Source organism: Homo sapiens, chromosome 1 (assembly GCF_000001405.40).
Source record: "Homo sapiens chromosome 1, GRCh38.p14 Primary Assembly".
Lineage (NCBI taxonomy): Eukaryota > Metazoa > Chordata > Mammalia > Primates > Hominidae > Homo > Homo sapiens.
In genome coordinates, this window is record NC_000001.11 from 113,177,576 (window position 1) to 113,196,443 (window position 18,868).

The 18,868-nt window shown below is 42.2% G+C and overlaps 3 annotated features.

The window, feature by feature from the left end:
- Positions 454–533: an enhancer, noted in NCBI's record as "active region_1529". NCBI's record gives its function as "activates an Ori minimal core promoter by ATAC-STARR-seq in GM12878 lymphoblastoid cells {active_cell/tissue: GM12878}" and the evidence as "EXISTENCE:reporter gene assay evidence [ECO:0000049][PMID:35858748]".
- Positions 614–813: an enhancer, noted in NCBI's record as "active region_1530". NCBI's record gives its function as "activates an Ori minimal core promoter by ATAC-STARR-seq in GM12878 lymphoblastoid cells {active_cell/tissue: GM12878}" and the evidence as "EXISTENCE:reporter gene assay evidence [ECO:0000049][PMID:35858748]".
- Positions 14,640–14,749: an enhancer, noted in NCBI's record as "active region_1531". NCBI's record gives its function as "activates an Ori minimal core promoter by ATAC-STARR-seq in GM12878 lymphoblastoid cells {active_cell/tissue: GM12878}" and the evidence as "EXISTENCE:reporter gene assay evidence [ECO:0000049][PMID:35858748]".

Below are 18,868 nucleotides of genomic sequence, written 5' to 3' on the forward strand. Positions count from 1 at the left end.
AAAGGTTTTGCATGGGGGACAACTGCAGCAAAATGTGACCATAGGTGTCCATCCTCCAAGGCTCTCCATTTTGCTCTGAGTGACTCTAGCCCTTGCTGACTGCCAGGCTGGGAGAGAGCAGAGCTGTCTTTCCTGCAGTACTAGGGTGCATCTGATCTGCACACCCCCCTATCCACTGGCTCCTCCTAAGGCCCCTGCCTGGCTGCTTGTGCAAGAGCGTGCACACACTTGCCCCACCTGATTGCTTTGCTGGTGGCCTGGGAAAGATTCAGCCTCCCCCATTCCTCAGCACAGCCAGTGCTCAACCCCAAGGGGCCAAAGGACAAAGCCATGGGGCAGGTCCCAACTCCCCAGGGTTTGAGCACATAGCTCAGGGGTATCGAGCTCAGATCTGTGGCCTGAGCTCAAGCAGGTGAGGAGCCCCCACTCTCAGAACACCTCAGAAGAGTGAGGTGCAGGTTCATGTACTAGTGTGGGATTTGGGCATGCCTCCCTCCACAAAAATCAGTCTGGGAAGGGTGTACCCTGTTTAACAGCCCACAGCCTCTGCCCAAGGGAGCCCCTAAGCCCAGAACACCTAACACCCCAGCAATCTGGGCACAGAAGGCTTGGAACAAAACTAGCTGTTTGGGCCTGCTACGGGGGCAGACACCGGAAGGAGATTCAGTCAGGGGAGCACAAGCTGGGTAGTCCCCACAGTTTTCTGCTGAGCAAAACCCCCCAGTCATGAGTCATGGGTGCTGCACCAGCTGTGCACCCATGACAACACTGCCCTGAGGATCCTCCAATCTTGACCCACTGCATCTACAGACCATCCGCAGACATACTCCATAACTCACTCTGACTATGTCAAACACAGAGGACCAGTGGATCTCAGGGGAGCTGTGGGTCTCCTGACAACCTAACCATTGACTCTGGCCACCCAAGGGAGGTGGGAGTGTAGCCTCCCAGGGGCCCTTTTGGGGCTAAGGAAATGCAGGCATGATGCCAATGATTAGAGGGTGCTCCTCCAAGGCCTAGGAGCAAACTTGGGGTCGTCTCTCACGCCCGACATCTCTCCCTCCACAAAGCACTGCTGTGAATGCCCTGAAATATAAAAGAGGCACATAGCTGAGTGACAGCCTATTTGCTGGCCCTTACTCTTAAGCTCCATCTACTGGAATGCAGCCTGAATTATACCACCAATCAAAAATTCCTTTAGCATACATTGACTATGAAACCCAGTACAGGAATCTAGTCACAACTCAATAACCCATACAGAGCCTTGGCCCTCTGAAAACACTCAGAAATGAAGCCAATCAACTATACACAATACACACCACAGTCAAAGCCTCAAGAGAACAAAAGCATATAAAAACAAAAAGCCCCATCCAAATAACAGCAACTTCAAAAGGATAAACACCAGCTCTCTCAGATAAGGAAAAATCAACACAAGAACTCCAGCAATCAAGAAGAAGGAGTGTTTCCTTACCTCCAAATGGTTGCACTGGCTCCCCAGCAATGAACCCTACCCAGATTGAAATGTGGCTGAATTGACAGATACAGAATTCAGAACCTGGATGGCAAAGAAACTCAGTGGTACTCAGGAGAAAGTTGAAACCCAATCCAATGAAGCCAATAAAGTGATACAAGAGTTGAAATAGCCATTTTAAGAAAGAACCAAACTGAACTTCTGGAATAGAAAAATTCACTATAGGAATTTCAAAATTCAGCTAGAGGCATGAACAACAGATTAGACCAAGCTGAGGAAAGAATCTCAGAGCTTGAGGACCAGTGCTTTGGATCAACCCAGTCAGACAAAAATAAAGCAAAAATAATTTTACAAAATGAACAAAACAACTGAGAAACGTCAGATTATGTAAAGAGACCAAACCTACAACTCATTGGCATTTCTGAGAGAGAAAAAGAGAGAATAAGCAACTCAGAAAACGTTTGAGGATACGGTCCATGAAAATTTCTCTCCCCAACCTTGCTAGAGAGGTTGACATGAACTTCAAGAAATTCAGAGAACCCCTGTGAAATACTATGCAAGATGACCATCCCTAAGACACATAGTCATTGTACCTTCCAATGTGAAAGAAAAATACCTTAGGCCGGGCATGGTGGCTCACGCCTGTAATCCCAGCACTTTGGGAGGCTGAGGCAGGCAGATCACGAGGTCAGGAGATCGAGACCATCCTGGGTAACACGGTGAAACCCCGTCTCTACTAAAAATACAAAAAATTAGCCAGGCGTGGTGGCGGGCACCTGTAGTCCCAGCTACTCGGAAGGCTGAGGCAGGAGAATGGCGTGAACCTGGGAGGCAGAGCTTGCAGTGAGCCAAGATAGTGCCACTGCACTCCAGCCTGGGTGACAGAGTGAGACTCTGTCTCCAAAAAAAAAAAAAAAAAAACCTTAAAGACAACTATAGAGAAGAGGCAGATCATGTACAAAAGGGAATGCTAACAGGCTAACAGCGAACTTCTCAGCAGAAACCTTGCAAGTCAAAAGAAATTGGGGGATTATTTTCAGCATCCTTAAAGAAAAGAAATTCCCATCAAGAATTTTATATTCTGCCAATCTAAGCTTCATAAGCAAAGGAGAAATAAAATCTTTTCCAGAGAAGCAAACATTAAAGGAATTTTAGGTCTTTAAGGGAGTTCTAAACAAGGAAATGAAAGAATGATACCTACTACCACAAAGCACACTTAAAGACATAGCCCATAGACCCTATAAAGCAATTAACTACACAATCAAGTTTACCAAACAACAGCTAACAGCATGATGACAGGATCAAAACCTCAAATATCAATATTAATATTGAATGTAAATGGTCTAAACACCCCACTTAAAAGGCACGGAGTGGCAAGTTGGATAAAAAAATAAGACTCAACTGTCTGCTCTTTTCAAGAGGGTGTCTCACATGTAATGACACCCGCAGGATCAAAGTAAAGGGATCTATCACGCAAACAGAAAACAAAAAATAACAGGGGTCATTATTCTTATATCATATAAAACAGACTTTAAATCAACGACAGTTAAAGAGACAAAGAAGGGCATTACATAATGATAAAAAGTTTAATTCAACAAGAAAACTTAACTATCCTCAGTGTATATGCACCCAACATTGGAGCACCCAGATTCATAAAACAAGTACTTCTAAACCTACAAAAAGACTTAGACAGTCAGATAATAATGGTGGGGGACTTCTACACCCCAATGACAGTATTAGACAGATCACTGAAGTAGAAAACTAACAAAGAAATTCTGGATTTAAACTCAACTCTTGATCAATTGGACCTAACAGACATCTATAGAATACTCCACCAACAACCATAGAATATACATTCTCCTCATATGCACATCAGCCATACTCTAAGACTGACCACATGGTCAGCCATAAAGCAAGTCTCAATAAATTTTAAGAAATGTAAATCATACCGAGCATACTCTCAAACCATGGTAGAATAAAAATAGAACTCAATACCAAGAAGATATCTCAGAACCACACAACCACATGGAAATTAAACAACTTACTCCTGAATGACAGATAATGAAATCAAGGCAGAAATAAAAAAATTCTTTGAAATTAATAAAAACAGAGACATAACACACCAAAGTCACTGAGATGCAGTAAAAGTAGCATTAAAAGGAAAGTTTATAGCACTAAATGACTACATCAAGAAGTTAGAAAGATCTCAGGTTAACAGTCTAATATTGTACCTAGAGGAACTAGAAAACAAGAACAAACTAACCCCAAAGCAAACAGAAGAAAAGACAGAACTAAATCAGAGCAGAACTGAATGAAACTGAGGTGAAAAAAATTCATACAAAGGACCAACAAAACCAAAAGTTTGTTTTTTGAAAGGATAAACAAGATTGATAGACCACCAGCTAGATTAACAATGAAAAAAAAGAGACAAGATTAAAAAAAGGAAAATCAGAAATTACAAAGATGACATTACAACCAATCCCACAGAAATACAAAAGATCTTCAGAGACTATTTGAACACCTCTATGCAAACAATCTAGAAAATATAGAAGAAATGAATAAATTCCTGGAAATACACAACCTCCCAAGATTGAACCAGGAAGAAACTGGAACAGGCCGATATTGAGTTCCAAAATTGAAGCAGTAATAAAAACCTACCAACCAAAAAAAGCCCTGCACCAGATGGATTCACAGCTGAATTCTACCAGACATACAAAGAAGAGCTGGTACCAATCCTACAGAAACTATTCCAAAAAATCAAGGAGGAGGGACTCCTCCCTAACTCATTCTATGAAGCCAGCATCATCCTGATACCAAAATCTGGCAATGACACAATGAGAAAATAAAACTACAGGCCAATATCCCTGAGGAACATAGATTCAAAAATCCTTAACAAAATACTAGCAAACCGAATCCAGCAGCACATCAAAAAGTTAATTCACCACAATCAAATAGGTTTTATTCCTGGGATGCAAGTTTGGTTCAATATACACAAATCAATAAATGTGATCCACCACATAAACAGAATTAAAAACAAAAACCATATGATCATCTCAATGGACACAAAAAGCTTTTGATAAGATCCAGCACCCTTTTATGATAAAAACTCTCAACAAACTAGGCACTGAAGGAACACACCACAAGATAATAAGAGCCATTTATGACAAACCCATGGCCAACATCATACTGAATGCACAAAAGCTGGAAGCATTCCCCTTGAGAACTGGAACAAGACAAAGATGCCCACTCTCACCACATAGTACTGAAAGTCCTAACCAGACCAATCACGCAAGAGAAAGAAATAAAAGGCATCCAACTAGGAAAAGAAATCCAACCCATCTCTCTTTACCGATGATATGATCTTATACCTAGAAAACCCTAAAGGCTCCACCAAAAGGCTCCTAGAACTAATAAACCTCTTCAGTAAAGTTTTAGGATACTTTAAATCAATGTACAAAAAAAATCAGTATTATTATTATTTTTTTGATGGAGTCTCACTCTGTCACCCAGGCTGGAGTGCAGTGGTGTGATCTCGGCTTACTGCAAACTCTGCCCCCCAGGTTCAGGTGATCCTCCTGCCTCAGCCTCCTGAGAAACTGAGATTAAAGGTGCCCACCACCATGCCCAGCTAATTTTTGTATTTTTTGTAGAGACAGGGTTTCGCCATGTTGGTCAAGCTGGTCTCAAACTCCTGACCTCAAGTGATTCACCCATCTTGGCCTCCTGAAGTGCTGAGATTACAGGCGTGAGCCACTGCACCTGGCCTAAAAATCAGTAGTACTCTATATACCAATAATGTTTAAGCTAAGAGCCAAATCAAGAATGCAATCCCATTTACAATAGCCACAAAAAATACACCAAAATATATCTAGCCAAGGAGGTGAAAGATCTTTACAAAGAGAGCTATTAAACACCGCTGAAAGAAATCAGAGATGATACAAACAAATACAAAAACATTTCATGCTCATGGATCGGAAGAATCAAGATCATTAAAATGGTCATACTGCCCAAAGCAATTTATAGATTCAACACTATTCCTATCAAACTACCAACATCATTTTTCACAGAATTAGAAAACCGTATTCTAACGTTCATATGGAACCAAAAAAAGAGCCTGAATAGCCAAAGCAATCCAAAGCAAAAGGAACAAAGCCAGAGGCATCATATTACCTGACTTCAAGGTAATATACTACAAGGCTACAGTAACCAAAACAGCATGGTACTGGTACGAAAACAGACACATAGACCAATGGAACAGAATAGAGAACCCAGAAATAAAGCTGCACACCTACAGCCATCAGCTCTTCAACAAAGTCAACAAAAACAAGCAATGGTGAAAGGACTCCCTATTCAATAAATGGTTTTGGGATAACTGGCTATCCATATGCAAAGAATGAAACTGGACCTCTACCCATCACCATATACAAAAATTAACTTATGATGGATTAAAGACTTAAATGTGAGACCTCAAACTATAAAAATCCTAGAAGGAAACCTAGGAAATATCCTTCTCAACACTGGTCTTGGCAAATAATGTATGGCTAAGTCCTCAAAAGCAATCACAACAAAAACAAAAATTGATAAGTGGGACCTAGTTAAAGAGCATCTGCACAGCAAAAGAAACTTTCAACAGAGTAAACAGACAACCTACAAAATAGGAGAAATTATTTGCAAACTATGCATCCAACAAAAATCTAATATCCAGAATCTAATGGGAACTTAAACAAATCAACAAGCAAAAAGCAAATAACCCCACTGAAAAGTGGGCAAAGGACATGAACAGGCACTTCTTAAAAGAAGACATACACATGGCCAACAGACATATTAAAAAATGCTCATCATCACTAATCATCAGAGAAATGCAAATCAAAGCCGCAATGATATACCATCTCACATCAGTCAGAGTGGCTTTTATTAAAAAGTAAAAAAATAACAGATTTTGGTGGTGCTGCAGAGAAAAGGGAATGCTTGTACACTGTTGGTAGGAATGTAAATTAGTTCAGTCACTGTGGAAAGAAGTTTGGAGATTTCTCAAAGAATTAAAAATAGAACTATTATTCAATCCAGCAATCTCATTACTGGGTACATACCCAAGGGAAAATAAATAGTTCTACCAAAAAGACACATGCACGCATATGTTCACTGCAGACATATTCATAATAGCAAAGACATGGAATCAACCCAGATGTCCATCAATGGTGGACTGGTTAAAGAAAATGTGGTAAATATACACTGTGGAATACTACACAGCCACAAGAAAGAATGATTTGATAGCACAATAGGGGAACTATTAGTCAATAATAATTTACTTGTACACTTGAAAATAACCAAAAGAGTGTAACTGGATTGTTTGTAACACAAAGGATAAATGCTTGAGGGGACAGATACCAAATTTTCAATGATGTGATTATTATGTATTGCATGCCTGTACCAAAATATCTATGTACCCCATAAATATATATGCCTACTATGTATCACAAAAATTAAAAATAAAAAAAGTAAAAAAGAGGTAAACAAAAGAAGAAGAAGAAGAAGAAATAACAAAATTATGTCTTTTGTAGCAAGATGGATGGAGCTGGAGGCCATTATCCTGAGTGAACTAATGCAGAAAGAGAAAATCAAATACTGCATGTTCTTGTCTATAAGTGGGAGCTAAACATTGGGTACACATGGACATAAAGATGGGAACAATAGACACTGGGGACTACTAGATTGGGGAGAGAGGGAGGGAGGCAAAGGCTGAAAAACTATGTATTGAGTAATATGCTTGATACCTGGGTGACAAGCTTCAATTGTACTCCAAACCTCAGCAGCACACAATATACCTTTGTAACAAACCTGCATACGGACCCCTGTATATAAAAGTTGAGAAAAAAGCCAAAAACAAAAAAGAAATTGAAAAGCACACAAACAAAGGGTAAGACATCCCATGTGCATGGATTGGAAGAATTAATATCACTAAAATGACTATACTTCTCAAGTAAATCTACAGATTCACTGCAATTCTTGTCAAAATACCAACATCAATTTTCCAGAATTAGAATGAACAATCCTAAAATTCATATGGAACCAAAAAAAAAAAAAAAAAAGCCTGAATAGCCAAAGCAATCCTGAGCAAAAAGAACAAAACTGGAGGCATCACAGTATCTGACTTCAAAATATATTACAAGGCTATAACAACCAGAACAGCATGGTATTAGTATAAAAAGAGACACATAGACAATGGAACAGAGAATCCAGAAATACATTCAAGTATTTACAGCCAACTGATTTTTGACAAAAGTGCCAGTAATATACACTGAGGAAAGGACACCCTCTTCAATAAATGATGCTGAGAAAATTGGATATTTATATGCAGAAGAATGAAATTTCACTCCTAACTCTCACCATATACAAAAATTAAAGACTTCAATGTAAGACTTCAAATTATAAAACTATCAGAAGAAAATACAGGGAAAACACTTCAGGATGTTGGTCTAGCAAAGATTTTATGGCCAAGACCTCAAAAACACAGACAAAATATACAAATGGGACTACGTTAAACCAAAGAGATTCTGCACAGCAAAGGAAACCATCAACAGAGTGAAGAGACCACCTGTTGAATGGGAGAACGTATTTGCAAGCTATTCATCCAACAAGAGACTAATATCCAGAATACACAAGGAACTCAAACAACTCAACAGTAAAAACAAAAACAAATAATCTCATTAAAAGGTAGGCAAAGGACATGAATAGACATTTCTCAAAAGATGTACAAGGGGCCAACAGGTATATGAAAAAATGCTCAACATTACTAATCATCAGAGAAATGCAAATCAAACCACAGTGAGATATCATCTTACCCCAGTTAGAATGGCTATTATTAGAAAAAGTAGCAGATGCTGCTGAGGATGTGGAGAAAAGAGAACTCTTATACACTGTTGGTAGGTATGTAAATTAGTATAGTCATTATGAGAAACAGTATTGATATGTCTCAAAAAACTAGAAATGGGCTGGGTGTGATGGCCTATAATCATGCCTATAATCCCAGCACTTTGGGAGGCTGAAGTGGGAGGATCACTTGAGTCCAGGAGTTGGAGACCAGCCCAGGCAACATAGGGAGACCCTGTCAGTACAAAAAAAATTAAGTTAAATTAAATTAAAAAACTAAAAGTAGAACTACCATATGATCCAGCAATCCCATTACCGGGTATTTATCCAAAGGAAAATAAATCAGTGTATCAGAGGGTTACCTGCACAAACATGTTTATTGCAGCACTATTCACAATAGCATAGATATGGAATCAACCTAAGTGTCCATGAGCAGACGAATGGATAAAGAAAATGTGGTATATATACACAGTGGAATACTACTCCGCCATAAAAAGAATGAAATCCTGTCATTTGCAGCAACACGGATGGAACTAGAGGTCATGATGTTATGTGAAATAAGACAGGCACAAAAAGACAGATATCATATGTTCTGACTCATGTGGGAGCTAAAAAAGTTGATCTCATGGAGGTGGAAGGCAGAATGATGGATACCAGAGGCAAGGAAGGGCATGCGGGTGGGAGGGGTAAGAAGAGAGGTCGGTTAAAAGGTACAAACATACCATTAGATAGAAGTTATCAGTTACAATGTTCCATGACAGAGAAGAGTAATTAGCAACAATGTGTTATATATTAAATACTTGAAAGTAGCTAGAAGAGAGGACTTGAAATGTTCTTAACGCCTAGAAATGATTAATGCTAGGCCAGGAATGGTGGCTCACACCTGTAAACCCAGAATATTGGGAGGCCAAGGTGGGCGGATCACCTGAAGTCAGGCGTTCCAGATCAGCCTGGCCAACATGGTGACACCCTGTCTCACTATTACAAAAAATACAAAAATTAGCTGGGCGTGATGGCACGCACCTGTAATCCCAGCTACTTGGGAGGCTGAGGCAGCAGAATCGCTTGAATCAGGGAGGTGGAGGTTGCAGTGAGCCAAGATTGCGCCACTGCACCCCAACCTGGGTGACAGAGCGAGACATCGTCTTAAAAAAAAATAAAAATAAAATAAAAAAAGGATTAATCCTCAAGGTGATGGATATCCCAAATGCCCTGACTTGATCATTACACATTCTATTCATATAACAAACCAAGCAAATCTAGCTTTGCTGTTTACAGCAGTGCATCTCTGAGCAAGTCACTTAGTCTCTCTGAATGTTGACCTTCTGGTCTGTAAAATCAGGAAAATACAAGGATTGGGAAAATGTATGTAAGGCATTTGGTATACATAGGCACCCAATAAATGGTTGCTATTTTTCAAAAATCACATCACTCATTTGTTTCCATTTTATTGTAAAAATTTTCAAACACATAGCAAAGTAGAAAGAATTTTACCATGAATAGCTATACACTAACCACCTAGATTCTACCATTAGCATTTTACTAAAATTGCTTCTTCACTTATCTATCCATCTCTCCATTCTTCTATCTACCCATTAATCTATCTTATTTTAGTGATTCATTTTAAAGTAGATTGCAGGCGTCAGTACGTTTTCCCCTAAATACTTCAGCATGCATATCAAACTAGAGTTCAGTATTTGGTTAGCTTTTTCATTTGATGTAAACTTTAGATACAATGAAATGCATGAATCTTAAGAATACATTTGCCGAGTTTTGACAAGTGTAAACACCTGTGTAATCCAAACACCCATCGAGATATATACATTTGTATCACCACCGAAAGTTCCCTCATGCATATACATTTGTATCACCACCGAAAGTTCCCTCATGCTGCTATAGCAAGATGTCCTAGACTGGGTAAAAAGGAAAAAAGAAAGAATGTTCCCTCATGATCCTTCCCAGTCCTTTCCTCTTTCACCCTAGAAGTGACCACTGTTCCAATTCTTTTTCCCTCTATAAAGTACTTATTATAGAACGTCATATAAGTAGGATCACATGCAGGACAGTTGTGCAGGTGGCCTCAGACTGAGCCAGTTATTCCCCTTTTCTTGCTTGTAGTGCTCAAGGATAACCGTAGAATATGCTGGAAATGCAACATCTTGAGATAAGGGGAAGCTGGCCAGAACAACCTGGGCTTTGTGCCTGTTCCCCACTACCCAGAAACAGGATTCCTTCAATACTCTAGCCCAGTGTGTTACAGTACCCCTGGGTCTAAAACCCAGAGCACGCTGCTTGCCGCCTTCAGCTGCAGTGCAAGTGAGGTATTCACAGTCAAACTCATCCACCCCAGGCAGTTTTCTGAGCCTTGCGGGACTGGGTCACAACGAATCCTAGGCTTCTGTTATCCCTTGCTGCTTATCTGTAAGGAATAAACCCACTTCATGTAACTCATATGTGTGGCTCTTCTGTCTTACCAGACTCAGACAAGCAGTGTGCAGTGAACTTACTTTTCATGATATAGTCTGTACTCTTATGTAAGGCTCCTTTCACTCAGCATGTTTTTGAAACTCATGTGATTAGTGGTCCATTTTTTTTTTATTGCTGATTAGTATTCTATTGTATGAACATAGCACCATTTGTTTGGCCATTATCTTGCTATTCATTTTTAATAAATACTGGTTACCTTCCTTCTTTCCTTATAGTGGATCATCATGAACAATATCAACTGCCATGGAACTCAACCAGAAGTGAATTGGCAACCCTGAGAAAAAACACTGAGCTGGTGGGAGAGGATGCTCCTTATACTGTAAGATCTCCAGTTAGTTCTTTAGATATAGCATGATCAGAGATAGATTAGATTTTAATTTCCTCCAGGGAGATCCCTCACTTTGTCTTATTTTTATTCAGTGCATTTCCCCAGCTTCCTCCACCATGAAATGACTTGGAGCCAATTAAGAGCCTTCTGCTTCCTCATCAGTAATATTTATGACTATGGAAATATTTATGGTGCATGGAGAGAGCTTGGGTCAGGTAGGAGACCAAGCTTTTGCTGTCCTTGTAAATGGGATTTGTCTCCTGCTTGTTTTTGCCAGAGCTGTAAAATGGAAGAGTGCACATAGTATAGTTTAAGGTTGCTTTTTTTTTTTCATCTACGCTTAGCATTCAGGCTGTGGATTATTACTGACCTTTGTGCTTGGAATGAAGGAGGCATTTTGGTTTTCTGGAGACTTTGGTAGTGTCAACCCCTTTTTCTGGGCCTGCCATCAAACCCCCTGTCCAGGCTAGAGCTATAACATGCTAGGGGAAGGCCTTTTTTAATCCAGTAAAAAAATTTCTGCAATCTGTATGAGGCTCAGGAGGTGCTGGAAGCCACCTAAATACATAAATGTGGAAGGGCCAGAGTCATTTTGTGTTTCTGGTAAAATTGCCAAGGAAGCAATTCTTTCACCCCAGTATCCATTTTTCTTTACTCTCCCTGCATGCCTTTATTCCCATCTCTCACGAATTTCCTTTCTCCTTCCAAGTCTAAGGCCTCCACCTGGACTGGGAACCCATCCTCTGCTACCCAGACCTGGCCAATCTCTGTTAAGAATTCCATTGCAAATGTGGCTTCTCCCTTCCCCCTTCCCCCACTGTCCCCAAACACTGTTTCCATCTCTCCTATAATATTAACATATATTTATAAAAATAAATATTTGTATCAAGAACACATTTATACAAACAGATCTATTTAGGAATGCCTCCTATGTGCCAAGTCGCCCTTTCACATGACTGCCGTCTTGTCTTCGCTTCTGCAATTCTTGAAACCTGCACTCTCTGCCATAGTTTCCCCACTTCTTAGTCCTTCACAGCCTTGTCCATTCTTACCACTCTACTGAGAGAGTCCCAAAGGTTGCCATCGGCTTCTCAGCTGGCAGACAGGGCAGGCTCTCCTCAGTCCTGCCTCCTTCTGGTCCTGATAACCAGTCCCCTCCCTGTCACCTTCTGAGATGCAGCAACATTCCATCACTTCCCACAACCCTACCATTCTGCCTTTTCCTTTATTGGATTTTATTTTCCTCCCACATCCTAAAGGTGGTCATTTCTCAAAGTGATGTCCTTGAACTGATGTCATCCCTTCTCCTACCATAATTTCAGCTCTCCCTGTGGGCAGCTGCATCCCGAGTCTGTGTCTAGCTCTAACCTCCCCTTGGATTTCAGACCCTAATTCCAAGTTGCTTTCTAGACACCTCTTCCTGAGTCACTTCACCCCTAAAACCAACCTTCTCTCCTACGTGAAGAGTTATAAAACATGGCTTCTGCCCCCGGGAGCTCATAACTTAGTCAGAGAGACACACATGCAGATTTTGAAATGTTCTGAGAGCTAATTAACATGAAAGGTGATGTTATAATGAGAGTCATGCCACATGACAAAATGTTAAGGAGTGGCACTAATCACACTGTTCTTACTCACAGTAGAGAGAAGTTGTGGGCTCCATTGCCCAGGAATGGTCTTATAGAACCTGGGTCCCATCAGTGAGGAGGAACAGAAAGGGGTGTGCATTCCAGACATGCAGGGTAAGGAAGGACCTTTCAAAGAACATTCTTTTAACCTACATTCAGCCACGCCGGGAATGATGCTTCTTGACCTGAGGTAGAACTGCTCCCTTAGGGAGATTTTGGAGGCCCTTTTGTTGTTAATTGTTACAATGACTGGGGGATGCTAGCAGCATTTAGCGCCTGGAACTCAGAAATGATAAATGTCCTGCAATGAGCGGGTTAGTCCCATGTCCAGCCAGTAGTGCCTAGGTTGAAAAACAACACATGTGGGGTAATGGGACATTGACTCTTCCCTGTCGTCTCCATGCTCCCAAGAACTCCATTCTGGCTTGTGAAAAACTAGTAATGGAATTACTCGTATATGAAAATAACTAATGCCCGATAGACAAACCAAACAGTTGCCTAGGGCACCAGCAAACAGAGAGAAAGAAGGATAAGTTCAGCTGTAATGAGCTTATTCACAATTTTGCAGGCAGAAAATCTAGAAAGTTGCTTTTTAAAATTTTAGCATAAACTTTCATGTTAAACCAAAAAATAAAATTTTATTTTGAATTTCATGTGCTATAAAATTTTATTTTGAATTTCATGTGCGAGTCCCTGGAAACTTGTCAGTGCTTAGGGCAATAAAGACATTAATCAGGTTGTAGGAGTATCCCATAAAAAAGCTATAAATGTGTGATTGAGGAGTTGCTGGAAATATTCACGATGCTGACAAGGCTCATCTCAGGGAGGCAAGACTGAAAAGGAATGTAATTAGGAAATCTAATCGGTGGAGCTCTATGTTGTCTGGGGGAAGACTGTAAACAGATGATGAGAGACCAGTCACTGGTCTGTTGGTCAACAAATACTTATCCACTAACTACTGTGTCCCAGGCACTGGGCTGGGCACTGGGATACAGTGGAGAACAAGACAAGTCCCTTCCTTCAGTGTGTTTACATTCTGGAGTTGGGGAGGGAAAAACAGACAAAAATACCACAGACACAGACCCATTTATACACACCCAGACAGACACGCAGGTGATCACAGGTCAGCAGAAAGCCTAGAGAACAGTGAGTCAGAACCATTTTGCAAGTTTTTCCAGCCCTCTCAGGGGAGGTCAGTGGCCACTTGATGATGGGATCCCCAGGTCTCAGCAGGGTTGGTGAAAAGGAACCTTGAGGCTACCTACCTTCCCTTGTCCCTGCATACCCTGTCCTAGCCCAAGGCGCCGAACCTGGCAGCGGCATCCTGTGTGGGGCAGTGTGGTGGGCGGTGCCCAGCGCTAGGAAAATCCCCAGGGTCACAGCTGGGGAATCTGAGCCCTACTCAAATCTGGGTGGCTAGGAGCAGAACTTGACCAGGGGAAGGAGGCGTACGAAGATCCTGATTGCACACCAGGTAAACGGTTGGAGCGTGTGTTCTTGCCTTATTGGCTGTTGGGCTTGCGGGGGTGTGGTCTGATTTAAAGGAACTGGGAATTATTTTATGAACAATTCAGCCTGGTGTCAGAAGTGTGTGACTCAGAGTCCCAACAGGAAACAGATGTCACACTCATTAGAGTAACTCAAGGAGGGTGAATTTAACAAAGGTGTGGGTGAAGTCGTGGGAACCAGAAGGGATGTTGGGGTGTTTTTGCAGCCCGTAAGCTGAGCTGTATACCACCCCAGGCCCAAGTGAAAGGGGAGGGAGTGGACATTGAAACCAGGAAGTAAAAAAGTCATGTAGAGGAAGGTAGAGATGACAAGGTTACCTTGAGAGAGACTGAGGGGCACAGCCAGCCTTGGGCCTCCTCATGGGGAGGCAAGGTCCTTATGGGGGACCCTGTTCCTCTGCTCTGCAGTATTTGTGAGCTCCCCATTGGCCAAACCCAGTGAAAAGTCAGAGGACAGAGTGAGCAGAAAATAAGCAGGGCATGGTGACCAGTAGCCAAGGATGCAGGCAGTCCTGTAACACCCTCCATTGTAAACCAGGAACCCTGTCTCCCATGAGGTTAGCTAGCTTCAGGAAGAAAGAGGAACTATGCACCAGCCTGGCGTCTGCCCTGATGTGACTCTTATCTTGCCTACCTAACTCCATCAGGTACACAATGTTCCCCTTTGGAGCTGTCTACTTCTTTCTCCCCATGCCACACTACCTGTGGCCACCACCCTCTCTTGCCTGAATTTCTCTAACAACTTTGCCGTCTCATCCAGTCCTCTTTTTTTTTTTTGAGATGGAGTCTCACTCTGTCACCCAGACTAGAGTGCAGTGGTGCAATCTCGGCTCACCACAAGCTCCGCCTCCTGGGTTCACGCCTTTCTCCTGCCTCAGCCTCCTGAGTAGCTGGGATTACAGGGGCCCACCACCACGCCTGGCTAATTTTTGTATTTTTAATAGATATGGGGTTTCACTATGTTAGCCAGGATGGTCTCAATCTCCTGACCTTGTGATCCGCCTGCCTTAGCCTCCCAAAGTGCTGGGATTACAGGCGTGAGCCACCGCGCCCGGCCCATCCAGTCCTCTCTTGACCATGCAACCAGATCTTTCCAACGTGCTGGCCTGAGCCTATGATTTCCTTCCCTAACACCACCTCACCACAGCATCCAAATGAAATCTACACAGCTTACCATGGCTTATGAGGCCCTTCATGATCTGGCTCTGGTTTACATTTCCAGCCTCATTTCTTGCCAATTCTCATTCTCCCCTCAACAAATGCCCCTCCTCAAATCCATCCCACTATGGTCCAGCCATACAGAACTGCTCTCTGATCTCTCTCTGACCCCAGGGCCTTTGCACATGCTATTTCTCCTCCTGAAAGTCAGGAAGTCAATTCTAACGTAACTCTTTCTCATTCCTCATTCCTTTGTTGCTGGTTGGGGTAGGCAAGGGTTCTGTGCCATTCTTATATGCTCCCATAGCACCCTGGCCCTGCCCAAATCATAATTTTAAAAAATTAATTCAATAGATATTTACTGAGTACCTGTAATGCACCAAGCCCTTCCCACCTCAGGGCCTTCTCTCATGCTGTTCTTTCCACTTGCACGTTCATCCTTCTACTCTTCATCTGGGTAACTCTTACATATTCTTTGAGTCTCTGCTGAAACATTATTTCCTGCAAGAGGTCCCCACCCCTTTTCTCTCCCACAGCATCCTGTATGACTTCGTTTATTTGATGTCTGTCTGCTTCTCTCCACGTGGGAAGGGGCCAGGTCTGTTTTATCCATGATAGTGTGCCCATCCCTAGCTCAGAAATCTGGCATGCAGCAGGCACTGGTTACATATGTGGTAAAGGAGGGAGGCAATAGGGTTCTCCCATTAGACCATGACAAGGAATAAAGAATTGTATGTTCCAGGGGTGAACTCAGGTTTTGTGGGGCCTGAAGCTTAGACAATTTGAGGTTTTATTTATTTATTTTTTTGAGACGGAGTCTCACTCTGTCACCAGGCTGAAGTGCAGTGGCGCGATCTCGGCTCACTGCAACCTCCACCCTCCGAGTTCAAGCGATTCTTCTGCCTCACCCTCCCAAGTGACTGGGATTACAGGTGTCTGCCACCGTGCCCGGCTAATTTTTGTGTGTTTTTAGTAGAGATGGGTTTCACCATCTTGGCCAGGCAGGTCTTGAACTCCTGACCTCGTGATCCACCCCCCACTTGGCCTCCCAAAGTGCTGGGATTACAGGCATGAGCCACCACACCCGGCCGAGGGTTCTCTTTAAGAAAAACACAAAATTACAGAAACAAAATTAGGCAGGAAAGTGGACCTTTATGTAGATTGGGAAAATAAATAAATTGTAAAGCTTTTAAAGTGGAAAAATACTTCAAATATCACAAAATATAGAAAAATAATATCATGTTTTTCTTAGTTAACTGCCTAACACACTGCAATAAGTCTTTCTCCACATTTTTTGGCTGAATAATACTCTTATTGCCTCATCATATGTAATGATTTTGTAATATTTTCCATATAGAGAATGGAATGAGAATTAAGTCCTCTGGCATAATAAAAATTATATTTATGATTGATGGGATGCATAAACACATGTGACCACAGCCAGACATACTTGTTTGTAGGACCGCTACAGTTTGTATCCTACGAACACAGGAATTCTGATAAATTATATTTGTCATTTTAAAAAGGGGAAAAAAAGGAAAGCATGTACTTGTATCGCCGCATTACTCAATATATATATGCCTAATGCATATGACTAGGTATCAGTGAGAACTGGATTCTGCACTTACAATCTTACACATCCGATGATTGGAAGAATTTCCTACAGACTAGCTTTTGGCTCTATACAGTTCAAATCTTGTTTCTCCTCCATTACCCACATGCTTCCAGGGCCAGGTTGCATAGGACACTCGCAAATCTCATATGGTCTTTGGCCCGGCATTTGAGTGTCATAATGCCAGATAAGTTGGCACCACAGGCAGTAAGCATGTTTCTGGGAGCCATTTCTGCACTGAGATGGCTAGCAAAAACCAACTCTACATAAAAGTGACTGCAAACCACCTAAATATGTCCCATAAAACAACTGTATCCCCAACTTAACTTCCCCCTAGCCAGATCACAAAAATGTCCATGGCCACTTCAGTTCTGGGCAACATGAAGGGGAGTGTGACAGAGGGGAAGTCTGAGGGGAAAGAGATAGCAGTCTAAACTGAGTGTGGTTCAAATAGCTGACTTTGGCAAGTTTCACAAAACGTGACCGCCACGAACACATTACTAGGGTCCCCTTCAGAACTTGTCCTAATGGGCAGCCCTAAAGCTTAAGTTTCATTAACTTCATGGTAAATTTGCCTCTGCCTGTATCGTATTCATTATTATGTGCGACCCCTGGCACCACGCCTGGCACATAGTAGTTGCTTAATAAATATATGCTGAGTAAGGAAAAGTGTTGCTTGGCCTCATTACCCAGGAAATAGTCTCTTCCCCCAGTAGATCTCATCCCTTTTTTGAAAGCTGGTGCTCAGAATAGTTAATAGACTTATTGGAGGCACTGGGAGGGGAAAGAAAGGGACCGCTTGGCGGGATAAGCTTTCCCATCTCCTCTTCACCGGGCAAATAAGCCGACGCCAACACGTCAGCTGCCCTCATTAGCAGTGAAGCGGCCCTGGCTGCCCTCTTGGGGTTATTCTAATTGGCTCCAATCAGGGAAAGCCAGGTCTGGGCTTTATAAACAGTGACAGCAGCTCCACCGTTAGAAGAGCAGGTAGAAAGGTCACACTGGAAACACCATTTCCAAGCACAGAGTAATTACAACTCATTCTGGCTTTCACAGCTATGCTGAGGAATCTTTATTTGTCTAGCCCGGCTGATAGTGGCCTTCCGGCTTCCTGCTTCCATTTTCTTCCTTGTCATGAGTTAGCTGAACTTCCGGGTCCAACACACATTTTTCTTCACGGCCTTGGGTCCAGCAAGAAGAAAAAGTCTGGATTCCTAAGGGGCTGACTCTAGGGGTCTCCGCTGCTGAAGAATTAGAGTCTAAAATTCTAGGGTAAGGAGAGTAGGCTATGTTCTAGACAAGCAAGAGTCTTTGGAGGACCGTGGTTTAAATGTACTGGTGACTGAGAAGCAAATACATTTCATACTCCAGCAGCCACTTAGCACGTCCACCTTGTCTGCTGCACTCTCGGCAAAACCTTCCCAGACCCCGGGGGCAGTGAGCCACTCCTCTGGGCTCCCACAACATTGGGCCCATGTCTTTATTACACGACTCACTGCATTGTCTTTCATTTATTAGCTTAGCCATCTGTCTTCCAAGATGGACTGCCAGCTCCTCGAGGGCACTAACCAAGCCTCATTCATATTTATATTTTTGGTTTATTCCCTAGCACAGAGCCTGGCACTTGGTACATATTGACTGACTCCTCAAAGGAAGGGAATGGAAGACACTGGTAATAAGATGAACCAGGAGCTTCCAGATAGCTGAACACATGGAGGGTGGTGCATCCAGAGAGGACACAGAAGCTCCACACTCCTAGCCCCAAACCACGCTCTATGTGTCTCTTCATCTGTATCCTTTATAATA